The sequence below is a fragment of the Homo sapiens genome, chromosome 3, assembly GCF_000001405.40.
Source record: "Homo sapiens chromosome 3, GRCh38.p14 Primary Assembly".
NCBI classification, from domain to species: Eukaryota; Metazoa; Chordata; class Mammalia; order Primates; family Hominidae; genus Homo; species Homo sapiens.
Genome location: NC_000003.12, coordinates 158,802,054 through 158,829,944, shown reverse-complemented (window position 1 = coordinate 158,829,944; position 27,891 = coordinate 158,802,054). Strand labels below are relative to the sequence as shown.

Below are 27,891 nucleotides of genomic sequence, written 5' to 3'. Positions count from 1 at the left end.
TTGTCAGAGAAGCTTCATACTCATATTTTACTTAATATAAAAAAAACCACATATGTTACTTAAAGTTCTACTCTGGAGAAAAAGCTACCCCCATAATCTTTCAGTGACTGTAATTGGGCAAGTTCTCTTTATTCTGACTTGGGTTTTCTTCTAGATAATCTTCTGCATGAATAAAAGTTAAAATCAGTGTTTTTGTATTTTTTAAAATCAAAAGAAGACATCAAGTACTCCGTGTGCAGTGTTTTAATTTATCCATGTACATAGGCAATTATCATAATTTGAAGGACACTTTTTACTTATTAGACTATAAGAAAAACTGTACAGAAAGTTTATACTATAAAATTACATCCCTAAGTGATTAGGGTCCTCAGTAACACAGAAATAAGAAATTGAAAAGGGTCATTGCTCGGCAATCCACATAACTACAGAGTAGAGCGCAAGCTATTGTTCGTGATCAGAAAGAGACTTCATAAAAACATCTTCACATATTCCCTAGCATTATGCCCTACTAGTAAAAGGAAGGCCTATGACAATGCCATTGTTTATTTTGTGTAACGCAGCCCTTCTATTTCCCTCAAAAGTTTTTTTTTCCTGCTATAAGATAAAGAAAAGGCTGTATCCCTAAGATATATACCTAATGAAGATTATCTCAACAGAAGCTCCAACGTTTTCCATTTTTCACTGTCTTTCCTGAAGTTCACCTGGATGTTCCACAGCAATTTTCTAACCCTTTCATTGTTGATTAGCCTACTAAAAGTAGAATTCTTTAGCAACACACAATACAAAAGACACAGGCTAAAACAGGCCTCACAAATACACTTTGAAATAGGTATATTTGGATATAAATATAACTTTCCAGTCCATTATTTTTTCTAATGACTAAACTCTAAATTTTTAAAAATGGAAGTTTTCAAACCAACGATGTGTTAAGCCCATTCTCATGACACATTCATTTTAACTTCTCATCTGCAAAACATAACGCAATAAATTACCAAAGAGGAAGAAAAAAACATGAAGCTCACCTGCCTTATAAAATGAAAACCAAGCATTACAAGACATGTAATAGCAAATACTAAGCTACACATTTTTTTTCTGAGCAATTTTTTAACTCTTCTTGATCCTAAAAGTCACAAAAGATCAATGTAGAAAATTTGAAAAATATTCTGAGTTTTTAATTAATATTCTGAGGTTTCAATTAATATGAGGTTATTTCTAGTAGTATATTTTCTATTATACATAAGTAATTGGGTTTAAAACAAGCATGTGACAGCATACTTTTTCTTGAATAAAATTAGGATATTATATTTGCATTTTTATCTTTTGTTTACTTAGCATACGGCATGTTAAGCATCTATGACATTAAAAATCCTTCTAAAACATGGTTTTAACAACATATCACATGGATGTGTCATGATATATTTAACCATTTTCCCTACTCTAAGACATTTATGTTGTTTCCAAACTTTTAACATAATATGACTATCATAAAGATATTCAAAACTCATACTTCTGATTATTTTAAGATGTATTTGTTAAAAGTGAATTTAATATGACCAAAACCACCCCCATCTCAAAAAAACAGACTGTTCTACCAGATTTTAACCTAGTCAAAAGTCACAACAATTACAATCACATGGTATATATATTTACAAATAAATGTTTAAAATCATAAAAACTTCAATGTCTAAAAATATTAGAAATAACAGGAAACAGAATCACTATTATGTTTCAGTACATACTTTTAGAAAAAGAAATGTTAACTTAATCACCATGCTATATACTTAAATCTCTTCCAAATGAATCAGAGAACACAGAACCACATATTGGTACCAGAAGAAGATGAAAAATTATCAACTACTTAAGAAAAAGAAAATATCTGAGAGAATGGAAGGGTAAGCCCAGTCCAGGACCTCAGGACGAAGGCCTTTCCTCCAATAAATTACAAGTAATATAGATCGATCTCTGTCTCTCTCTCTCTCTCTCTCTCTCTCTCTCTCTCCCCCTCTCTCTCTCTCTCTCTCTCTCTCTCCCCCTCTCTCTCTCTCTGTGTCTCTCTCTGTCTCACAGAGAACAACTTAAATTGAATTATTTTTTTTCTTCGTTTCAAGCCTTAATATCCATTTTTAAATTTTCTGAAGCAAACAAGAATGTTGTTATAATAGTTCCACACACATAATAGCTAGCTCTCAAAACTCAAGGAAAACTAATCTCTTAGAAGTTCAAAGCCCAGGCCAGGCGCAGTGGCTCACATCTGTAATCCCAGCACTTTGGGAGGCCGATGCAGGCAGATCACTTGAGCCCAGGAGTTCTAGACCAGCCTGGGCAACATGGCAAAACCCCATCTCTACTAAAAATACAAAAAATTAGCCAGACATGTTGACACACAACTGTAGTCCCAGCTACTTGGGAGGCTGAGATGGGAGGATTGCCTGAGCTGAGGAAGTTGAGGCTTCAGTGAGCTGTGACCATGCCACTACACTCCAGCCTGGACGACAAGCATGGGAATCAAAAAAAAAAAAAAAAACTTCAAAGCCCAAACCTTGAAACGAAATGCTCATATTTAAGATTTCAAAAATAAAGACAACTTTTTACCCTTTTAATACTTACTCAGTATGGGAAAATTTTATTTCTTCCCTTTGTCTTGCAGAATAATTTAGGTTCCCACCTAAAACACAAATAAACATAGATCTTTTCCATATAAGTATTATCAGTAAGTAAATTTCAACCATACATACATACATGCAACCATTTGCATAGATACACTGTATTTTAAGTAATAGAAAAAGCTATCGACGATGAAAAAGTAATGGTTTATCTACTGGAACCTTCCCAAAGGGAAAAAATGAAATTCTTGTGTGATATAAATAATCACCCCTTAATTTAAGCATTTTTTTAAGTTTGGACTTATGTATTGCTTCAAGTGTTGTTACTTAGGACACTGTATTAATATTCAATAATAGTGAAAATTAAGAGAAATTAAAGGAAATGAACAGGTGTGGTAGCTCACGCCTGTAAATCCCAGGCTAAGGCGGGAGGATTGCTTGAGCTCAGGAGTTTGAAACCAGCCTGGGCAACATAGGGGGACCCCATATCTAGAAAAAATTTTAAAATTAGCTGGCTGTGGTGGCATACACCTATAGTCCCAGCTGTTTGGGAGGCTAAAGTGGGAGGATCACTTGATCCTGGGAGGTTGAGGCTGCAGTGAGCTGGGATCGCACCACTGCACTCCAGCCTGGGTGACAGAGTGAGACTCTGTCAAAGAAAAAAAGAAAAGAAAAAAAAAACTATTAAAATAAAAAAAAAAGGAAATGACCTGAAATTATTTACACAGCATATATATTATATTCTACTAAATATATAAAACTCTTTAGGAGCAAGCAGTTAGAAAAATTACTAATGACAACATCAAAATCTTATCAAGAACAACAACAAAAATCCACTAATGCATACAGTACGAATTAGCAAAAGAAAAAAAATCTGTAATTTCTAATTCTAAACCAAACATCTTGAACCTTAAAATGTAAATTATAGCTATAAATTTGCTTAGTTCTGATTTCTTTTAACGTAGGACAATAACACAGAGGGGCTTTAGGTTACTTTTTAAATGCTATATTTCTTTATGTTAATATAAAAATAACATCTAAGATTTTATATTATTAAGAAACTCATCTGGCTAGATTTTAAAAAATGACAGCAATCTTAATAAATATGAAGGCCCAGAAAACATAATTATATATTACATAATCAAATGTGTTTCCATCATTATGAACAGAAAGTCATTACTGCATGGAATAAAGCACTGGCCCCCAAAGAGGCAGACCCAGAGACCCCACAAGATGATCCACTGCGGTTTAAGAAGCAAATATCAGATCTTCTACTTACCCTGGGCACGATTCACCAAATAGAGTAAGACCACAGATAAAAGTGACACTAGGAGTGAAAAAACATAGGGCCCTTAAAATATGTATTTCTTCTCAATGATTCCTATGTAATCATAATCACAAAGCAAAGCTTAGACACAATCAAACCTTTATTAATTGCTATTTTAAATAAAAATATTATTCCCATTATTTTATTTTCCAAAAGCACTAAAAATAAGTTACACACTATTTTCTCCAAGGGCTACTCAGCCCAGGGGTGGCAGGCCAGAAACAAAGAAGTTGAGGCCCCTAGAAAAAAGGGAGCCGACCCAGCCACAGCCCAGCCCTGCCCCTCTTTCCTCTCCCTTTCTCAGTGCTGGTCCTTTGCAGGACTTACCAAAAACTCCTGCCAGCCCCCGATTGTTTATCATTTCAGAGGAAGCCAAATAGTAGTCTTTTGGGGGCTTTAAGTCTGAAAATGCCATGTCCATTTTACAAATTTCAAGTAACCAAACATTAAAATGTGATCATTAGACTCAAATCAATCAAGACCTCAAAATTCAAGTTTTCCCTTGGCTTTTTCCTTTAATAAGTGAAGAACACTGTTTAATTTACTTTAAAATAATAGGGCAGGCCTATTATCTTATTATTTTGATTCATGCCTGTAATCCCAAAGGCAGGAGGAGCGCTTGAGGCCAGGAGTTCAAGTCCAGCCTGGGCAACACAGTGAGACAGCATCTTCACAAAAAAATTTAAAAACCAGCCAAGCATGGTGGTGCACACCTGTAGTCTTAGCTATCACGGAGGCTGAGGTGGGAGGATCACCTGAACTCCGCAGTTCAAAGTTACATTGAGCTGTGACTGCTCCACTGCATTCCAGTCTGGGTGACAGAGACAAATCCTGTCTCTAAAAAAGTAATAATAATAAAATAAAATAACAGAAAAACATATTCAAACGGCACACTGTTTGCTTTGAGACCCAAATACATGTTGAACTGTGGACTGACATTTAACCACATGCTGCAACAACAAAAATAGACAAAAAACATTTTATGATTTAATGTCTGAAATTCTTATATGACCCACTTTTTTAAACATTTATTTTTAAAACTTGACGTCCTTGTTTCTAAAACAAGCACGTTTATTTATGAGATAATAAAATGCACTCAAGGCAACTCATAAGCAATTATCTGCAAATACCACACTTCAGGTATGGATGGTCTTTATTCCCTATAAATGAAAACAAAGTTTGATAAAATCATCACTGTGGTTTGTCATTTTAAGCACAATATTGAACTATAAAAGACATCTTGATGTGTTAAGGAGAATTTTCTTTTCAGATAAACACAATTTATATGTAGGGTAAAGATTACCTATGGACAAATGCTATTATTTTTATATATTTTTCAAGTTTCCTAATGCTTCCAATTTCAAACCAATGAAATTACAGGTAAAAACTAAATTACGGACTAAAAATAAAAATCAGTTAAAACTGCCTAATGAATAACCATGAGTACTCACACCTAAATCACACCAACGTTTCCACATAGTCACATTAAGGATATACTCAGGACTCTTCAAATTGTTCCACTTTAAGTGGGAAAATGCTTTTTTTTTTTAAACTGTAAATAGTTAAAACAGAATATGAAACCAACTCAATCACTGCCTTTAAGGATAGGAATCTCCTAAAAAATGCCTGTGAATCTTCAGAGGGCTAGAAAGTCACCAGCTATGAAATTCTAATTCACAGGTGAGAATTAGGCAAATCTGGGAGCTATGCCTAAGTAAAAATAAGAACATTCTGTTATGTAGTAAAAGAAACAAAATGTTGTCATACGGAATACTCACAAGAAACACAGGCAATGAAGAACACTTCCAAAAACAAATACCCCCGAGAATCCAGTATCATACCAGCAATGATGGAAATGATGGCCAACCCAAGATTCTGAATGGACTGCATGCTACAATGGAAGAAATATAAAGACACATTTCATTTTCAAAAGTCTTCACACATAGGCTAACACTTCACTATAAATATTAGTATCTGTGAACCATATACTATTTGTGTTCAGAGATGTTTTCCACCAGGGATGACTTGATTAGATTTTGGATTGGTTTTTATCCCATAACTATTTCCACTACTAGACTGCTCAAAGGTAAGGGAGCTTGTCTCATTAAGTGCAATGTGGATTCAATACCTTTGTGCTGAATGAAAGAAGGGCCATGTGAATATCAACCACAGGTGCGGTTTCCCCCCTCTGCCTTTCTGTGCCAGGAACTGGACTCAGCTTCTCACTAAGAAGCCTCACATAAACAGGCAGGGAGATTATAATGTCAGCAAGGACCTCTTCTGGGTTAGCTTACTCCAGCCCTCTTGCTGGAGGCTCTTTTGTGGCCACAACAGTATCTTAAATAGATTTACTGACTTTTCCAGTTATCTCCAGGTTCAGCGCTACCCCAGAGGCTGGATGACGACTAGATTCAGATCTGGAGTTTTATATGATAATTAAATTGACATAGCAGAGACAGACATATACGATCCACAGCGTAAATACTTACAAGCCATATGCAGTTCCCAGCTGATGTTCAGGAACTACAAATGCCACCATTGGCCACAATGCACAGGCAAGCAATGAGTAGGAGAGTCCCAGAAGACACTACAGAAAGCAACGCAGAAAAGGTCACAGTCTTACATTAACCAAAAGGTGATTTTCCTTTAATGCAGATTAGCAAAAGTGACAGAGTAGTTAATATATATATATTCAAGCAAATTTTGTTGTTATTAGGCTAAAATTCGTATTCAAAATATACAAAACAAGTCTCTGCCCTAAGAGTATCCTTTTAGCGACAAGATACATGCTGTCTTAACCATTTTCATTTGTCATCATATTATATGCATATGTAACTGGCTGGGGCCCAAGATGCAGTCAAGGACCAAGTAAGAAAATAAAGGTAATTTTTAAAAAGTTCTTACCAATGTTTCAGGCAAGCTAATTTTCCAGTATTTATTAGGAGTTACAGATTAGGCAATCAAGGCAATATCATGCCAACAGTCCATCATCCTACGTCTGAGCCACCAATACCCAGTAATCACCACCAATGCTTGGTAAACCTCACCTAATGCTGATTTTTTCTTCAATTAAAAAAGAAATATTGTGATTTAAATTTAAATGAGTATCACTTATAACTATCAGATTGGCAAAGATTAAAACAATGACAATGCCCAATACTAGCAAGGATACTAAAAAAAGTCACATTGTATATTACTAAAGTTATAAATGGGTAGAAAGTTATCGGAGAAAGTTTCACAATCTCAACCAAGATGTTAAATACGCAAACCCACTGCTGTAGCATCTCTACTTCTAGGAGTCTGTACTGTATCTGTTGAAACACTTCTAGAGAAATGCCCACTCACTGCACAAATATTTATGTTCCAGATATTCCTTTATTAACAGGTAGGAAATGCAGCACTAGAGCCTCGGGTCTTAAAAATGATGTTTTGAACAACAATAACAAAAACTTGAATTCATTATCACTTTTTAACCTACTAAGCAAGTCAAAGAAAAAGAAGAGTTACTGGTCCAACAGATTTTTGGTTTTTTGCCATCTATGATGGAATGCCTTCTTTTAAGTCACCTATTTTAGAAAAACAAATGGGACTAATAAGCATTCTGGCTTTTATAAGGCTACTTTATTTCAAATTCTCTTTCAGCACTGAAGTTAACTGGTTAAATAAATCAAATGAAATTAAAAGATACCTTATATGTTAATAATTCATAATTATACTTTAAAAAATAATTATTTTGTAGATATTGGAATCAAGTTGTCATCTCCCCACTATCATAGGCCTTGTCATCTGAATTTGCTGAGCGTGCCTACTTAGATGAACATGACAGACTCCTTGCTGAAGCCCTGACCCCACCATGGGCTAACACAGACGTTACCATAGCAATCCAAGGGTTCCACATCGTAAAGGCCAGCATCATGTGGGACACAAGAGTGGCTGCTACTGCGCAAAGAACCCAGATGATGTTCTTCCCTGTTTTATCCACCAGGAGCCCAAACACCGGGGACATGGGAGCTGATATGACATATACAACACTGCCCAGAGAACACATAAGACATTTCATGAAATGCAACACAGTCAAACATCAGTTTCAAGAAAGTCTTGAAAATATCAGGCAAAGCAAATCCTAACTCATTTAACATTCTTATAAAATGCTCATCAAAAAATATAAAAAGCAGTTCAAGACTTCTTTGGTTTTCCACTAATTTAAACACAGCCACTCAGGATTCAAGTCCCAATGTAGTCCCAGTTTCGCACTTAAAAAATATTAGGTCACATACATCTTTTTTGCTTCTTTTAACATTTGATTATAAAGACCCATACTTCACATGCAATAGGCACTTACAAAATTAATTTTAAAATACCTGTTAATTGCACTTGCTGCCTGGGAAGAAAATCCAAATTTCTCTGTAAAGAAAACTCTAAAATTAAAAAGACAGAGAAATTAGCACATTAGAGAGAACTACTCTGTTTTCAAAAAATAAAGTTGAATAAAAATAACTCAAGTTTAATCAGCTTCTTTCTTGATATTATTCTCCCACCTTATTTATATTCACCTTCAGGCAATCTGCTAAAGCTTCAGTATTTATATTAATGTTTACTGACTAAATGACATATGATGCATATTTTTTTCCTTTTCTGGTATGCAGTAAGGAATACACACAAATTTTCAGAAAATCAAATATACTACCACAGGGACTTAAGGCTGCTTCTTTTCCTTAAAAGCAGTACTGAATGGGTTCTTTGCTAAATAATAAACAGGGTTCTTGTCTGAAACTATTTAAAAGGACAGCCTGAACTCAAAGGGTATAAACCATACCCTTACACAAACACACTTACATTGCGCTGCTTAAGCAGCTGCCAATGAAAAAGGAGAGAGAAGTAGAAGATAAAGCAAAGAAGAATTTGCTTTGAACCCAGAATTTAAGTCTGGCAGAATTACAGTCCTAATCAATGGAGATGTTCCCAGGCACAGTGCACCAATAAACAGTCTCCATTCTCAGTAAGAGCCTTTCTAACCAAGGAATAAAGAGGGAATGAAAAAGAATACTAGTCTAAAATCAACTATTAAATCAATATTATGAATCAAAAATTATTAGGTATTGACATGGTTTGGCTGTGTCCCCATCCAAAGCTCATCTTGAATTGTAATCCCCGTAATCCCCACCTGTCATGGAAGTGACCCTGTAGAAGGTAATTGAATCATGGGAGTGGTTTCCCCCAAGCTGTTCTCGTGATAGTGAGTGAGTTCTCACGAGATTTGATGATTTTATAAGCAGCTGGCATTTCCCCTGCTGGCACTCATTTCTCTCTCCTGCCACCATGTGAATGAAGAATGTTTGCTTCCCTTTCTGCCATGGTTATAAGTTTCCTGAGGCCTTCCCAGCCCTATGGAACTGTGAGTCAATTAAATCTTTTTCCTTTATAAATTACCCTATCTGGGGCAGTTTTTTATTAGCAGCATGAGAGTGGAGTAATACAGGTATTTCTTCAAAAGAATAATAAAAGTATAAAACCAATACTAAACCTTAAGCTAAAAGAAAATGTATATCCCAGGATCTAAAGTAATTCCTGTGAAAATATAAACTATAACCAGAGAAGCAAGATTTACTGCTTTAAAAACTACATTTATGTGATTGAACTCTCATGATAATTTAGACAAGAAATAATGGAAACATAGAGAATACTCACTTCCCAAGTCCAATAAAAGGGAACACAGCAACATAATAGCAGACACAGATGATAAATATAAGCCACAGGGGTAAGGAGAAGTCCTTTACATCAGTTAATTTAATAACTTCACCTTAGAGAAGAAAGGGAAGACACTATCAGCATAATTTTGCATACCTAAGGAGCTTTCATCTATAGTCAAGATTATTTTTTAAAATCTTGTGATTAATCTTTGCAATTCAACTTAAAAAAATACTTTTCTAGTAAATTACACAAACATCATTTCTGGGATAACTTACAAAGACATAAGAAAAAGCAAAACCTAAGACTAAGACTGGCATCTACCTTTCCTGCTCCTTTCCAAGAATAACCATTTTGCAAATATACAATCGAGAATGTAAATTCTGCCAAAAGATTTAAGGGGAAAAGAAAATACATCTAAAAATTTAGAAAAGTGGAAATCAATTTGGAAATAAAAAATAAAAATCATGTCTTAAGCTCCACCTGGTTTTACAACACTTCATTAGGAACTTAGATCTCATTATAAAATCTCACAAAGGCCGTAATTCCCCTAAGTCCCATTCTTTCATTTAGACTTACCTGTTTTTCCTTGTTCTTTATGAAGGATTCTCTCTGCTCTCTGATCCAAGTAGGCAAGAGCCAAGGCACAGATTAGTGAAAGAATACACGTTATACCCCCTAAATAAAAAAAAAAAAAAAAGAAAAACAGACTTTGAAAAGAGAACCAAACAGAAGGTTCCTAAGGAGAAGTACATTACATAAACAGCAAAAACAGCAACTGAAAGGGATGTCACATAAAGACACGAGAAAAATCTGCAATTACTAAATCGGGACAAAAGAGGAAGAGTACATTCAAATACTCAGCAAACAGTAGTAGCTTTTACTGCATTATTTCACAGTTCAAAGTTAAAGATTAAAAGGAAAAGACTAGAAAAAACTAGTCTAGTCCTGTAATGCAGAATACAGACTGAAGAAAACTGATGAGCAGCTACTGATGTAGTCCTCATTTCTTCATTCAGTCTAAGCACCAATTGTCAATGGACACCAGGGAAAAAATGATGAAGCCAAGTTAGGCTCTTCATCTCTCTTCCTTCCGATGTTTTCCCAGAGTCCACGGCCTTCGCTCCTGCCCTCTGGCAGCCCAAGTGCCCCATCCTCCCAAAGCGCAGTACTCTCAAGCTCTTTCCTGTGAGATCAGCATTTCTCTCTAATACCAATCTCATATCACTACAGAAAATCAGGATAAAGAGTGAATAACGATACACTTCTCAGGAAGAATTTCCAAAAGAAGCTTAATAAAATAAATGAATCTTTAATTCACTGCCCTACCACAGCCCGGTTGAAAATTCGCTGAAATGAGCATCAGTAGACGTGAGCTCTAACGAGCTGAATCACCTTGGACATGGAACACAAGCTCTCTTGGATTCAATTTCCCCAGTTTTAAATAAGAGGATTTGACCTGATGATGGCACAGGTCTTTTCTGGCTCTAAAAGTCTTACTCTAAAATTTCCCATTGTGGAGGAAATTAGATGGAATACTAAGAAGCTTTTAAGAGTAAAAAGGAGGTTTTAAGTAAGGCAAAGGATTTGAGAGGGAGAGTTTGAAAGAATCTTTAAATATGCTTGCCTGCTTAGGATTACCACTCCACTGTCTTCTTTTACCAGGCTGTATCGACCAAGGAATTATAAGGAATAAAACACAGAAAGACAAATACTATGCATATGTGGAATAAAATATATATATATATTTTAAAAACCTGATCTTATAGAAGTAGTGAGTAGATCAGTGGTTTAATTAGAGACTGGGGAGGAGATTGGAGAAAGGAAGACAGGTAGACATTAATCAAGGGGTACAAAGTTACAATTAGGAGGAGTAAATTCTGGTGTTCTATTGCACAGCAGGATGACTATGGTTAACAGTAAGGGATTATACATTAAAAAATAGCTAGAAGAGAGGGTTTTGAGTGTTGTCACTACAAAAAAGTGATAGACGCATGAGGTGATGGATATGCTACATACTCTGATTTGATTGTTACACAATGTATCTGTGTATGGAAACATCAAATTGTACCCATAAATATGTATAATTATGTGTCAATTTAAAAATTAGGGAAAAAGGGAATAAAAGATGTGCACATCTTGGGCACAGAACTTTCACCCTATCATCACACAGGTCTCTCTACAGCCCTGCAAACAGCCAAATGCACACCACAGGGTTCAGTTAGACAAACTGCCTGCCCAGAGAAAAAGCAAAAGTGGTAAACCCAGAAGGCTTCGTGCCCTTCCCAGTGACCCACCCAGCAACTAGCACCATGGAGCCATAGCTAAGAGAACTTAGGGACAGTAGTGACCTATATAGTCTTGTTGAAACAACTGTAATTATATTATAATAGGATCCAAATTGAACAGGAGATAATTTCCTTAAAAGACACTACAAGAAAAAGAAATTGAACAGGAGGTAATTTCCTTAAAAGACACTACAAGACGTCAGGTAGCGTGATGCCTCCAGCTTTGTTCTTTTGGCTTAGGATTGACTTGGCGATGCGGGCTCTTTTTTCGTTCCATACGAACTTTAAAGTAGTTTTTTCCAATTCTGTGAAGAAAGTCATTGGTAGCTTGATGGGGATGGCATTGAATCTATAAACTACCTTGGGCAGTATGGCCATTTTCATGATATTGATTCTTCCTACCCATGAGCATGGAACGTTCTTCCATTTGTTTGTATCCTCTTTTATTTTATTGAGCAGTGGTTTGTAGTTCTCCTTGAAGAGGTTCTTCACATCCCTTGTAAGTTGGATTCCTAAGTATTTTATTCTCTTTGAAGCAATTGTGAATGGGAGTTCACTCATGATTTGGCTCTCTGTTTGTCTGTTATTGGTGTATAAGAATGCTTGAAATTTTTATACATTGATTTTGTATCCTGAGACTTTGCTGAAGTTGCTTATCAGCTTAAGGAGATTTTGGGCTGAGACAATGGGGTTTTCTAGATATACAATCATGTTGTCTGCAAACAGGGACAATTTGACTTCCTCTTTTCCTAATTGAATACCCTTTATTTCCTTCTCCTGCCTAATTGCCCTGGCCAGCACTTCCAACACTATGTTGAATAGGAGTGGTGAGAGAGGGCATCCCTGTCTTGTGCCAGTTTTCAAAGGGAATGCTTCCAGTTTTTGCCCATTCAGTATGATATTGGCTGTGGGTTTGCTATAGATAGCTCTTATTATTTTGAGACACGTCCCATCATGCTACCTGACTTCAAACTATACTACAAGGCTACAGTAACCAAAACAGCATGGTACTGGTACCAAAACAGAGATATAGATCAATGGAACAGAATAGAGCCCTCAGAAATAATGCAGCATATCTACAACTATCTGATCTTTGACAAACCTGAGAAAAACAAGCAATGGGGAAAGGATTCCCTATTTAATAAATGGTGCTGGGAAAACTGGCTAGCCATATGTAGAAAGCTGAAACTGGATCCCTTCCTTACCCCTGATACAAAAATTAATTCAAGATGGATTAAAGACTTAAACGTTAGACCTAAAACCATAAAAACCCTCGAAGAAAACCTAGGCATTACCATTCAGGACATAGGCATGGGCAAGGACTTCATGTCTAAAACACCAAAAGCAATGGCAACAAAAGCCAAAATTGACAAATGGGATCTCATTAAACTAAAGAGCTTCTGCACAGCAAAAGAAACTACCATCAGAGTGAACAGGCAACCTACAAAATGGGAGAAAATTTTCGCAACCTACTCATCTGACAAAGGGCTAATATCCAGAATCTACAATGAACTCAAACAAATTTACAAGAAAAAAACAACCCCATCAAAAAGTGAGCGAAGGACATGAACAGACACTTCTCAAAAGAAGACATTTATGCAGCCAAAAGACACATGAAAAAATGCTCATCATCACTGGCCATCAGAGAAATGCAAATCAAAACCACAATGAGATACCATCTCACACCAGTTACAATGGCGATCATTAAAAAGTCAGGAAACAACAGATGCTGGAGAGGATGTGGAGAAATAGGAACACTTTTACACTGTTGGTGGGTCTGTAAACTAGTTCAACCATCGTGGAAGTCGGTGTGGCGATTCCTCAGGGATCTAGAACTAGAAATACCATTTGACCCAGCCATCCCATTACTGGGTATATACCCAAAGGACTATAAATCATGCTGCTATAAAGACACATGCACATGTATGTTTATTGCGGCACTATTCACAATAGCAAAGACTTGGAACCAACCCAAATGTCCAACAATGATAGACTGGATTAAGAAAATGTGGCACATATACACCATGGAATACGATGCAGCCATAAAAAATGATGAGTTCATGTCCTTTGTAGGGACATGGATGAAACTGGAAATCATCATTCTCAGTAAACTATCACAAGGACAAAAAACCAAACACCGCATGTTCTCACTCATAGATGGGAATTGAACAATGAGAACACTTGGACACAGGAAGGGGAACATCACACTCTGGGGACTGTTGTGGGGTGGGGGGAGGAGGGAGGGATAGCATTAGGAGATATACCTAATGCTAAATGACGAGTTAATGGGTGCAGCACACCAGCATGGCACATGTATACATATGTAACTAACCTGCACATTGTGCACATGTACCCTAAAACTTAAAGTATAATAATAATAATTTAAAAAAAGAAAAAAAAAAGTCTACTTGAAAAGTACAAGGAAATAGAAACAGAAAATGATATAAATAATATCTGTATTTTGGTAATTATGGTACCTTTTCTACCAAACATTTTTAAATACACATTTTTATATGCATGTGTATATATGTATGTTATTGCTATTTTCTGATTATGGGAAAGAAAGATACAATTCTATATGCCTATTTTAGGAAGGGTAATAAATGCTAGGAATTGTATTGAGCTCTTGTTGTAGATACTTGAAATATAATAGTGGCTTAAACTTGAAAAAAAAAAAAAAAAGACACTACAAGAAAAGAAAACTGAGACACAGAAGGTTAACTTTCTTATCCAAGATGACAGAACTAGTTAGAGCTAGCATTAGAGCCAGGGCTCCTGACTCCCAACTTAGTGGTTTTTCAACCATATCATATCACATCAAACCTCCATAAAATCTAAGCTTTCCAGGCACACTGACGGAAAAAGTCAGTATTTGATTAAAAGGAAGCAATTCTCCCTTATGCTATGGACGTTTTGTTTGGTTGGTTGGTTGGTTGTTTTTTTGTTTGTTTGTTTTGAGACAGAGTTTTGCTCTTGCCGTCCAGGCTGGAGTGCAACGGCGTGATCTCAGTTCACCTCAACCTCCACCTCCCAGGTTCAAGGGATTCTCCTGCCTCAGCCTCCCGGGTAGCTGGGATTACAGGCATGTGCCACCACGCCCAGCTAATTTTTGTATTTTTAGTAGAGACGGGTTTCTCCATGTTGGTCAGGCTTGTCTAGAACTCCCGACCTCAGGTGATCCACCCACCTCGGCCTCCCAAAGTGCTGGGATTATAGGTGTGAGCCACCGTGCCCGGCTGCTATAAACTTTTAATTAACATCTTACCTGAATAAATTCTCAGGTTGTTCTCAAAGAGTTTTTACACATATAATCTCTTTGTATGCATGAATAAATTCTCAGGTTGTTCTCAAAAAGTTTTTATTTACATGATCTCTTTGTATGTATGAGATGCAAATGCCAATATTAAAGTAGACAACAGGCCAGGTGCGGTGGCTCACGCCTGTAATCCCAGCACTCTGGGAGGCAGAAGTGAGCGGATCCCCTGAGGTCAGGAGTTCGAGACCAGCCTGGCCAACATGGTGAAACTCCATCTCTACTAAAAATACAAAAATTAGCCAGGCATGGTGGCAGGAGCCTGTAATCCCAGCTACTCGGGAGGCTGAGGCAGGAGAATTGCTTGACCCTGGGAGGCAGAGGTTGCAGTGAGCCGAGATCGCGCCACTGAACTCCAGCCTGAGCGACAGAGCAAGACTCTGTCTCAAAAACAAATAAAAATAAAATAAAGTAGACAACAAGGAATAAGGCTATCCATTTTAAGAAATTTTAAATCCATTTTCAGAAAGTGGAAATTAATATACAAACAGCGTAAATGATAGCCTATTTCTAGTTGTGTCAAAGAGTTCATTAGAACCATGGAGACAACACTATAACCAAAGTAGATACAAATTCCAGTGTGCCTTCCTCCCTGCTATGATACTTCCTATGACAAGCCTTCAGAAGAGGAGAGATGTGGGACATGGGATTCACTCACCAATCATAAGTGTGATCCCGAGGGTTGTGTGACCAGCAGAACCTAACAAAGCTTCAATCTTAGAATACAGCCATCCCATGAGGTTCATGTTTACTGTACTTCCCTAAATGAGAAGGGAAAAAAAAACAACAGCATTTTAAATCATATATATCTCTGCTTTGTTCAAAAAAAGGGATTTGAGGTGGCTCAGAAGTAGGATCCAAATTGAACAGGAGGTAATTTCCTTAAAAGACACTACAAGAAAAAATTGACAAACCAAGATAAAGCCACAGATAGTTACGACAGCAGAAAAAAAAAAAAAAAGCCAATTTATTAGAAACTGCTAGTATAAAAAAATAACATAATACATGTAGAATTTCCTACCAGCCAAAGCAAAAGTGAAACATGAGTTATAAAATCTAGAGTATCTAAGACAAAAATATACCAGTAACAGAAAAAGCACAACTTTTCCTGGCACTGAAATCTGAGGGAAAAACATCTTCCTCTGAATGTCCATAAAGAGGACAGTAAAAGTTATAATAGATGATTCTTCATTCATTTATTCATTCACTCAGCAATTACTGAGCCCCTATTACATGCCAGTCACTGTTTCAGGTATTGGGAATATAATAAAGAATAAAGTGGCCAGGCACAGTGGCTCATGCCTGTAATCCCAGCATATTGGGAGGCCGAGATGGGTGGATCACAAGGTCAGGAGTTTGAGACCAGCCTAGCCAACATGGTGAAACCCTGTCTCTACTAAAAATACAAAAATTAGCCAGGCATGGTGACGGGCACCTGTAATCCCAGCTACTCAGGAGGCTCAGGCAGGAGAATAGCTTGAACCCAGGCGGTAGAGGTTGCGGTGAGCTGATATCATGCCACTGCACTCTAGCCTGGGTGACAGAGCAAGACTCCGTCTCAAAAAAAAAAAAAGAAGAAAGCATAAAAATATCCAACTTACTTTGGTTAAAAAAAAAAAAGTAAAATATCTAGTATATTAAATATTGACAAGTACTTTTAAAAAATAAGAAAGAAATAAAGCTGGAAAGGAGAATATAAAATTGGGAGTGGAGGCCTCCCAACTGAAAGCAACTTTGGCGTATAAACTTGCAGGAAACGAACTGTGGGGATACCTGAGGGAGGAGCACTCCAGGCAGAAGGAACAGCCACTGCACAGGCCCCAAGAGGAGCTTGCCTGGAGAGTTCAAGGAATGGCAAGGAGAGCAGAGGCTGGAACAGTGCAAACAGAACGGAGAGGATGAGATGAGGTCCCAGTGAGGAAATGGTGGGAAGGGAAGCTACAGGAGGACTTTCAGTTTTTATTCTGTGTGAGATGGGAAGCCATTGGGGTTTGAGTATAGAAGTGGCATGATACTTTGACAGACTCATACTGGCAGACTCACTCTATCTTCAAAACAGACCACAAGGCAAAAGCAAAGGCACCAGTTAGGGAGCTATAGCAATAATCCAGAACAGAGATGATTGGGCCTAGCCCTAGGTGGTTAGCAGTGGGCATGGTGGGAAGTGGTCAGAGCATAGATATATTTGCATATAAGTTGCCCTGAGTTTCTAGAAGGGAATCTCAGGGGCTTCTTAGAGGCAGTTTAGGGATTATGAGAGTGGTAGGGAGATCTTGAGGAGGTGAAATGAGCCAGATCGCAGGCAGCCACCTCAGTTTCAGCCAACGCTGCTCAACTTTTATCTGATTTATGTATTTAGCGTCCATGTAAGATGATTTTATGATCAAAATGGCCAAGAGCTATTCCATTATAGGGCTGCTGGGGGTGACATAGATTCCGTCTTTTTTGCGCTTCTCTTGTTCCCTGTGCAGCCTCCAGAATGACCACAGAGGTCCTGGGTTTACCTCTCCATGATTTTTCTATTGCCTGAGTTTTTGAGTTTGATTGTGTTTAGACACTTGAACTATTAGCATATACCATATACCTTCAGTGCACTTCTCATTTTTCTTAGTATTCATGTCTTAGCTCGGGACTGGAGATCCAGCACCCTTTCAATTTTCCTTCACTATTGTTACTTGAAAACTCATTATTTCAACAAACATTTATTGAGTACTTGCTAAGCCAGGTCATGTTATTTTATTTAATAGATATTTTAAATAGTTAAAAGAGATTTTAAATAGTTATTTAATAGGTATTTTGGAATGAAAGGATTATTAAGGCAACATCCTATCTTTGAGGAATTTATATTTTTGATGGTATTAGAGAAAGCTTCCAGTAGGTCTCTGTTTACCTTGTTGCTTATTTGAGTAATGCCATTAGCTAGTATTTTATAAGAAACAGCCATGTGAAATTTGCTACTGTATTTGCTGTGAGAACATTGTTGAAGGCATGTACACTTCTCAGTCTTCAGCAGTGTCTGACCTATCAATAGCATTTCACGCAGTTGACATCCTCTCCACCTTGATTTCTTTTCTTGGGTTTCAGGATACCACAGCCTATAGTTTCCCCCTTGCCTTTCTGCCCACCCCAATGGAGCCCTTTTGTTGGTTCCATCTCGATCTTCTCAACCTGCAAATGTGGGAAGTGCCCCAGGGCTTGGTCAATTGACATCATCTCTTTTCTTTCAACATCCATAGTCTTGGTGATCTTACCAAGTTTTGCCATTTTAAGTAGCATTTTCCTTGCTCCTGAACTTACATCACTTGCCCAGATTTTTCCCCTGAATTCTACACCTGTATATGCAACTGCCTACTCAACATTTCCACTTGGATGAATGGCAGGCATGTCTAACCTAACACGACCAAAACCCAGTTGCCTTTAACTAAGGATGTGAAAAGTACAGCAGGAGCTGGTTTAGGGGATGGTGGGCAGAGTATCAAGAGCTAGGTTACAGCGCTCACAGTTGCTTAAGCAAAAACTGTGCTGTCATCCTGAGCGCCTCCGTTGTTTTTCCCCCACACTCTACATATTTTCCGTTAGCAATCCTAGTAGCTCTGTCATCAAAAGAAAATACATACACAGAGAAAGAGAGAAACTTAGGGCTCCTCAGAATGCAGCTTAATGAATTATAGCTAACTTAAAATGACACAGAAAAGAACCTGATGTCCTGGTAACCAGAATGAAGTCAGTTGAGTCTTGCTCAACTGATTTCACTTCCTTCTTTAAAAAGTTGTTAGACAACTAGATTCACAAACTGCCACAGACATATCTGGACTTGCACAAGACTCGTAATGAAGGCTTTGGGAATATCCTTATAGGCAAAATTTAGAAAATATGGAAAACCACACTATTTACCAAAGAATTACAAATTCAAATATTTAGCTGTTTCCTATCAAAGTGATAAAGTAATTTTCTAAAAGTAATAATAGCCTGTACTATCAATGCTACAATAAAAGGGATCCTCTCATATCCCACAGGTGGGGATGTAAACGTCTCTGGAATGATAATGCGGAAATATCTCTCAATAGTCCTCAGATGACCTAACAAATACCCTGACTTAATAATTCCATTCCTAGCCACTTAGCCTATGGAGACTAAAAGAGATGCACAGAACTTTCATAGCGAGAGTGTCAGACTATAGCACTATTTATAATAGTGAAAAATCAGAAAGAACTTACATGTATAAAAATACAGAAATACTCATATGATGAAGTATTATATGAAAATATTTTTATATTGAGTTTCTTATTCTCTGAGACTATGTTGTATTTTCACGACACTTATTAAAAGTCAAAGCTTCTGCTCGCCTTGGCAGCACATATACTAAAAATCAAAGCTTGAAAGCTTGATTTTTAGTGGCAAAAAAAATTTTTTTTTAATACTCTATTCATGGGAATTCTTGAGAGAAAAAACCTAATGGGATTTGGGAATGCCAACACACCTTATAGTTTGCATTAATAAAAACATAGTGTTGTCTCTATAAAAAATACACAAAATTAGCTGCACATGGTGGTACACATCTGTAGTCTCACTATTCTATAGGCTGAGGTGGGAAAATCACTTAAACCTGGGAGGTCGAGGCTACCATGAGCCAAGATTGCACTGCTGGACTCCAGCTTGGGCAACAAAGTGAGACCCTGTCTCAAACAAACAAACAAACGAAACCCATAATGTTGTTCCCGCTAGGTAGCCTCTAAGACCAAACCTGAAACACCATGATCATTTCTAAGTTCCAAATGCCAACAGGAGTACTGGCTAACTGAGATAAGTTCAGAGAGGCATAAGCACCATGGTAAGGGAGCTGAGATCCATGTCATATGGCTCAGGCAACCACAGGAAATGAGCACACATAACCAAGAACTTAAGAGCTGTCTACAAAGGAGCAAAGTGCTGATGCACAGCAGAGGAAGTAAACTTTATCTACAGAGAGCAAAAGTCAGAGCCATCAGTAAAAGCTACTTGTAAATGGAGGTTTCATCGCTATGTGAGGTTACGCTTCATAAAGTTCATTAAGGTAGGTGGGCTGCTTCATCACAGAGCAAGCTTGCAATCCCTGGAAATATTGCAAACTGAACCTGGACAGCCGTATGTGGAGAGGTTCTAGCAGGGATGCCAAAAATGGGTAAGAAATTAGACAACAAAACTTACAGGATCTCTCCCTATGCTCAGATTCTTTGAACTAATGAATGTACACAACCATTTTAGACTGTTTACTAGATGAAATAAGGTTAGAAATGCTTTACTCAAGGTAAATGCCATGCTGTGTTCTAGAGAAATCCATAAAAGTTAATATCTAATTTACCATACACAAATACATTTCATCCTGTGATTTTTAAGAGAACTATAAGATTTAATCTTTTGCTTCCATTTGGCTTCATCAGGCTTTTCATTATACTTACAATTCTAGCCATGCTAAGTTGAAGTCCAAACACCAGGTTTAATTCTTTGCCTTTAAACCAGCTCACAGCATATGTATTCTGGGCAACTGCTAAGGACTCGCCACCAATCCTAAAAATAGAAAAAAAAAAAAAAACCAGAAGTCACAACTTTAAAGAAATACTACAGTTAGCAATGCAGCAGGTTTAAAATGTTGGCACTTCTCCTATCAAGAGATGGGGCCTCTGTCCCCTCCCCTTGAATCCAGGTGGGCTTGTGACTACTTCAACCAATAGAATATGGTGGAAATGAGACAGTGTGATCCCAAGGCTCAGTTATAAAAGGTGACATCACCTTTTCACTCCGACACTCGCACTTGGAGCCCTGAACCACTACCCCCATGCTATGAGACAGCAAACCACAAAGAGAGGCCACATGTAAGTGCCCCAGTCAGCAGTCCCAGTCTTTGAGGCATCCCAGTCCAGGTGCCAAACATGTGAGTCAATAAGCTTTCAGATGATCCCAGCCCCCACCCTTCCATGAATCTTACCAGCTGAGGCCCCAGACACTAGAGGCAAAGACAAGCTGTCCTTGCTACACTTTGTCCGAATTCCTGCCCATAAAGTCCATGAGCATAATGAAATGGTAGTTTTATACCGCTAAGTGTGGGAGTCACATGATATACTGCAATAATAACCATGATAGGCAACAAAAGGAGTCGTCTTGGTTACTACATTACCATCGATATTATATAAAATGCAGATGTGGGAAAAGTGGTCCATGCTTTGTGAAAACATAAAAACTCACATTTTTCAGAACAATATGCAAAGCTCTCCATCAATCAATCCCCACATTCACTTTCCATATTCAACACTCTCCTACTTCCTGGGTTTTAATTTTCCTTCAGTAAGTTTCAATATTTACGATTCTCCTCCAAGGGCCTTCAGTTAGGAGCTTCCTTCCTCCATATCCTTACACCGAGGCCACCTCAGTATTAAGGACTAAGAAACAGTCTTAAGACAAATAAGAAATAGTCTTATTTCTTGTGACTCTGTCCTAGCCCAAAAATATTTTCCCTCTCTTCTAATAATCCAAATCCTGTACTTCTGTCAAGGCCTACTTCATCTGTAAGGCCATTTCTGACCACATTTCTGTTTCTGAATCCCTGTCATAACTTTACATACATTCTTCTTCCTTCTCTCTCACTGACGGTTACTTTTTGGGGTATGTCACCTATGTCTACATGCTCCTGACACCTGTGCAAAGCTTGAATAAGTTATGCTTTTAAAACTGAGTCAGTTCTGTCATCTGGGTCCCTCAGGGCAGCAAGCCCAAGGCTGGTCTCAGAATAGGCTTACTGAACAGACAATGCAATTCAGGTAGAACAACTGGTCTATAAGAATTCACACAGAATAGTCAGCTTACACATATTGTGCTCATTCAAGCAAAGCTCTTGGACAGGGTTGAAAGGACCCTCGCATCACTTGCTAAGAAAGAGTGAAATGTCCATCAGTCACCAACCTAGAAATCGATGGTCTATACTTTTCTAAATGTGGTTCAAATCATAGTCTTTAATACAACAGAACAGGCAAAATGCCTGGGAAAAATATCATTTCCAGAGAACTATTTAATACTCAAACCCCACACAGAGTTGATTAGGACCATTCAAAATTGTTGCTTATTTTAAAGGAAAACTAAGACAACTAAGAAATACTCTTATGCATATGAAGCTAGGTTTCAAAGATTTGAAGTAATTCCCCAGAAGAGACAAGGTTTTTTAAAGATCTTTCATAGATGAACACTAAAACAATAATACATTAGGATAAATTAAATTATGCATAACTTACCCAAATACAAATCTTCCAAATTCCATCAGCCAAAAAGCATTAAATATTCCACCCAGGGCAAAAACAACCTATAATGTAGAAGTTCATGTCAAATTAATGAAAAAGTAAATTCAAAGTATTAAAGAGAAGCAAAAGGAACATGATAAATCTCAACTTCTACAATAGTTTTAATATTTCTCCTTAATAAATCTGTGAAGTTAAAATATTAATGTTCATTTATTTCAAGGCTTAAAATAGACTATGGATTATATCACATGGGCATTTATGGGTTCTGCTTAATTAAGCTAGGCATTAATTAAACACAGCTTTGCCAATGGAATTAATTAGATAAGAATTTAGAAGTCACTGTCAATAATCAATGAATGTTTTGGCCTTCCTTACCTGTCCAATGCAAACAAAGCAGCTAAAAATGATTGTGCCCCATCTGTTTGGGAAAGAAAGAATGAGAATGAGAAAAAGAAAAAGAAAAAAAAAATCTTAATTTCTGTTTACATTAGTATTAGTAATCACAAAGTCCTTTAGTAATAATTCACTTTGGTTTTCTTTGCCTCCCTCTGTATTCCCTCCAAAGAAAGAAAAATAAAGGGCTCATCTCCCTCTGAAGCCAGCAACTCTCAGGCTAAATATGAATCTACAGAAGTCTAGACTTCTAAGGGGATTCCGGAGGCTTTAGCAATGGCATATATTAGTTTAAATCATTATCATCTCTTAAATAAAACTAATCAACTAATCTTCAAGAAGTTCCCAGGGTCAAAACTACTTAAAAATGTAAATTCTTCATAAAATTTCTATTAAGAGTTTAGGATTGATTCCAAGGAATTTTACAGTAAGTAATTTTAAGTGGTTATAATTCTTGATAACTAAAACCAATTTTTAAAAGGACAAACACCAACCATGTTATACAAATCTAACATCCTACAATCTGGACATCAGATTAATGTTGCCCTAGAATAATAAAATGCCAGTATTAGAAGAGTCCTTAAAGGCCATCAGGGTAAACCATACTTCTTAAACTTAAATCTCTCTCAAGATCCTTGTGAAATGACCATGCCATGTTCTACTGAATGTTCTCTAGCAATGTTCTCTAGCACTGGAAAACTTACTATGGTTCCAAGACAATTCTTGTCATCTCCTGCCAATCTGACCAAGCAAACTCCTCATATTAAAAGGAATCTGTTCCCCAGAAGTTTCAAGCTAATTCTCTCTCTTGAGATCAAAAAAAATAAATTTAATTCTTCCTTCATATTTTAACTCTTCAAAAATTTTAAAGGTTAGTCCCCAGGTGTAAACTCTTAAAGTTTCTTTAATCTTTATCCACCAGACATGGTTTGAAGACCTTTCATCATCTTGGTCTTTGCCTTCTGAAAATATTCCCAGTCTATATTCCTCTTCAGTTCCACTAACAACATACACACAATAATAAGGATGAACAGTGGCAAACCTTATAGTGTTATTCCCTGCTCAGCCTCTAACAGAAGTGGTCACAAAATGTTTTACACCCCAAGAAAAGCAGAAATAGAAAATCTCACCGGGGCTGGAGGAAGCACATACTACCTATGTGCCAAATACTGTACATCCATCTCTCACTTAATCCTCATAACCACCTTGCAAGGTAGGAATCATCTATATTTTGGCAATGAGAGAACTGAAGCTCAGGAAGCTGCAAACAGCTCAGAACAGCCAGGAAGATGAGAAAGTGGCAACGATAAGATTCAGAACCTGGTTTACCTGATCCCAAGGGTGAGTATAATTTTCCTATGGATAACTGAGTTACCTTATACCATCAGCATTTACTAGTCCTGACCTTAACTGAAATACCACGTTTCAAAAACCAACTCCAGAGATATAAAAATCATTTTTTTAAAAAACTCAAGCAAATTATTAGTTAATACAGAAGTTTATTCAGCTCTTTCTAGAAATACCTTAATCTAGCTCTGTATTTTTCTAACAATCAGGTAAGATTTACCCATAGTTTCTTTTCAAGCTTACCGTATTCCAAATACTCGGTCTATCAAAAAGCCACCAAAGAAACACAAAACTACATTGGGCCAAGAATACCAGGCATACAGCAGCATGAATTTCGTGGTATTCACTTGCATATCCTATATGAAAAGAAAATAAAACTATTTTTTTCCAAACAGTTAAGTTTAGCAACTAACAAATCAAAATATGACAATCTAAAGTGGAAAGTAGTTACATTCTTCTTTCTGTAAAGGGCAAGTTTTTTTTAACCATTTATAAGTCTCACTAACTTCCTTGAGAATCTCATGAAAGCTATGGCCCCTGGCCCAGGAAAATGGTCACACCTGGGAACCCTGGGAACTTCTTGAGTTCACATGCCATTTCAGGGGCTTCCTGGATTCCAGGATCAGACACCCTGCTACAGGGACCACTTCTGTCTGACTATAACTTCTATATACTACCTGCACTGGGGACTCTGCCCACATATACAAGGATAATCTTAGCCTATCCCTACCTACCCTACCCTCTCCATCCCCTCAAGCATGCTCCTCCTACTTCCTTTCTCTTTCATTCTAGAATGAAAAGGGTCAACCTATGCATTTTCCCTGTCCAAAGGTTAAAAAGAACCTACAAAGAAAAGAGACTAAATACCCAAAAAACTGTAAATATCAAGTATGTTCTTACAATACAAAACCAGACTAAAAATCCTGACATGGACAATCCTCTGCAATCAGTATCCACATTTAAAAAACAAAATAACAACTAAAACCTATTTAAGAAGGCAAAAAGCTATCTTAACAAATCATTTGTCATTCGGGTGACTAAGCACTGGGAGAGTGAAATGCAAACAAAAACCTGCTCATATTTTTGACAATACTGTGGAAATACCACATAATTATTTATCTAAGGTCTGAAACAATTTCAAGTCACATATGTGCTATAAATGAATTATTTGTGGTAACTCATTTCAACTTAAGAACACCCCTTGCAACTTGTGGATTTGGTGACTACAGATGTCAAAATAGATTCAGCGGACACGTGAGACTAGGGCACCTGAGGGTTGATAATGCCTCCACCGCTACACTTGCTCTAAAGAAAACAAAAGAAACAAGAGTGAAAAATCAACTTACTCGTTTAACTTGAGTCTGAAGGGCAGCAGGATTATCATAGCAAAAATAGCTGCCTAGAAAAGAGCAAATACTTTATAAGTAATAATACTTCCCATATAAAAGTTTCAAGTTGCAGTTGCTACTGAAATTACAATTTTAAATGCTGATACTACGGGTTGACACTACAGAAATATTTCTGAACCACTTCCTTATCCACCAGTATTTTCTAAGTTATATCAAATAACTTCCATAAATTGGTAGTGTTCATACACAGCAAATACTGGGAACCTGAATTAAAAAGTCAACAACCAACAATTAAATATTTTTCTATTTTACTTTCATCATGCTTCACACATATACTATTTTATTAATATCTTCATGAAGCATCTATATTTTATTTATTTCCTTATTTACAAACACACATACACTAAAAACTTTACAACCTCATCAGTTTCCTAATAATGTTAGCTTAAGGACAAAGGAATGGAGTGTAACCATTCTGACAAAACCAATATTTGAAACAAGTTCTCTAATTCTACAAACTACCCAAAATCAAATAATTTAGTGAATACAGGGCCAGGAGTGAAAAAAAAATGAAACTGAGAATTCTAAAGGATTAAATTAAAACATGTCTTTGGGGGAACTGGAAAGAGAGAAGTAGGGAGAGATCTGACCATGCACTCGGATTTATTTTAAAGATAAAATAATTGAGATTCCTTCGTAGGCTACAAGAAAATATTGCCTCCATAGCTCTACTAACTCTACAAGTGCACGAGGCTATTGGTTCTAATGACAATAAAAACTGTCATTAGAAAGGAATGAATCTGGCTTCTGAATTCTAGGCAGATAACCAGAATTTACCAAAAACTGTCTGTCTGCTTGAGTGGGGACCATTTTTTTTAATGTTTTATTGTTGTTCTTTCTTTGTTGTGGTGGTGGTTGTTTCTAAACCCTGCTTTAATCTCTTTTAAGGATTCAACGTCCTGCTTTAAAGCTAATGGATGGGCATCATCTTTTAAAAAACAGGGGAGGGGGGAAAAAGGAGTTGCAAGGAAACCAAAGCCCAAAGCATCCTTCATGTCTACTTATATGTTCAGCGCTAGAATAGTTATCCACCATAATGTTCTTAAACCTGCTGATTACACGGGCTCCAGCTAGCCTCCTGAAAAACACATTCATACCAAATTAATATTAGAATTTTGCTTAATAAATTAAAAACTGTAACATAGGAAGGAAAATTTTTTTCTAATTATCAAGAAACTGTTTTCGGAGACATCAGATTTCATAAGAGAAACCAACCACTGTCAAGACTACCACAAGTCCCGTCCAATATGATTGCTTCACAGTGGCAGAGTGGAAGATTAAGAGAACAATATCTATTCACTGAAGCTATCAGCAAGACACACTCATACATTTTCTCAAAGAGGGTGAAAAATATATAGAAGACTGCCGACGAAATCATTCACGTTTTTTAAAAGCTGGACAACATTGTAAGACCCTGTGTCTAAAAATAATAATAATAATAAAGCCGGGTGTGGTGGCGCCCCATCTGTGGTCCCAGCTACTCGGGAGGCTGAGGCGGGAGGATTGCTTGAACCCAGGAGGTGGAGGCTGCAGTAAGCCACTTTCACAACACTGCACTCCGGGCTGGGTGACAGAGCAAGCCCCTGTCTCACCTAAAACCAAACAAACAAAAGTTGTTTAGGAACAGTTAAAGCTTTCTGAATTTCCTCCGACCACGTGTGCCAAAAGAGGAACCTTGAAAATCTGGAGTTACCTTCATATCTATCGCCTCTAGGGCGAGTCGCTAGCCCCTGGGACTTACTGAAGAGCAAAGGAGTGCCACAAAACTCGCCCAGCTCAGTCCCTCGACCTCCACGTTCCGGACGCGGAGTAACTAGCAACATCCACAGGTGTGGCTGGAATCGATCGCAAAGGGGAAAATAAGGAGGCCCAGGAGCTTAAGACAGAAGCTGCGCTGAGGCCCCGTGGCACCAGTGACCACGATGACGATCTACCTCGAAGAGAAAGTCGGGAATTCCTTAAAGATCAGCCCCAACCCACCCGGCCGGCTCACCAAAGCCAAGGAAGCACATCAGTAACAGCACCAAAAGCCGGTGCGCCAGGCGACTGGGGTCGCAGAGGGCCGGCAGGGCTCCAGGGGCGGCCGGGGCACCTCTGTCGGCCTCGTCAGGGCCGCCTGCCAGGAGCGCCCGCGCTTCCTCATCCTCCTCCTCCATTGCGCCCGCAGGAGACGGAGAGGGGAAAGTGGTGACAACTCCAAACCCAGGCAGGAAGCAGCGCCCGTGGAACACTGTCAAGACGGCGGTCACATGACT

General features: G+C 37.6%; 1 protein-coding gene across 8 annotated transcripts; it reads right to left on the bottom strand.

The window, feature by feature from the left end:
* Positions 1 to 228: 228 nt before the first annotated feature.
* MFSD1 (major facilitator superfamily domain containing 1) lies at positions 229 to 27,891 on the bottom strand. 8 transcript variants are annotated; one of them, NR_110328.3, is made up of 16 exons: positions 27,630 to 27,891; positions 25,574 to 25,626; positions 22,863 to 22,905; positions 22,482 to 22,549; positions 20,658 to 20,766; positions 15,878 to 15,980; positions 10,198 to 10,296; positions 9,619 to 9,730; positions 8,292 to 8,348; positions 7,805 to 7,961; positions 6,420 to 6,517; positions 5,709 to 5,821; positions 4,644 to 4,767; positions 3,883 to 3,930; positions 2,608 to 2,665; positions 229 to 966 (listed from the first exon to the last, which is right to left on the bottom strand). NR_110328.3 is itself a non-coding variant. In NM_022736.4 (16 exons), the coding sequence occupies exons 1-16, from the start codon at positions 27,790 to 27,792 to the stop codon at positions 963 to 965; spliced, it is 1,398 nt and encodes a 465-aa protein (NP_073573.3). In that variant the 5' UTR covers positions 27,793 to 27,891; the 3' UTR covers positions 229 to 962. The 8 variants fall into 8 exon arrangements, 7 of the variants coding, with proteins under 7 accessions (NP_073573.3, NP_001276336.1, NP_001276335.1 ...); NM_022736.4 differs by lacking the exon at positions 4,644 to 4,767 and adding an exon at positions 24,471 to 24,583; NM_001289407.3 differs by lacking the exon at positions 4,644 to 4,767 and adding an exon at positions 24,471 to 24,583 and having other exon boundaries at positions 27,661 to 27,891.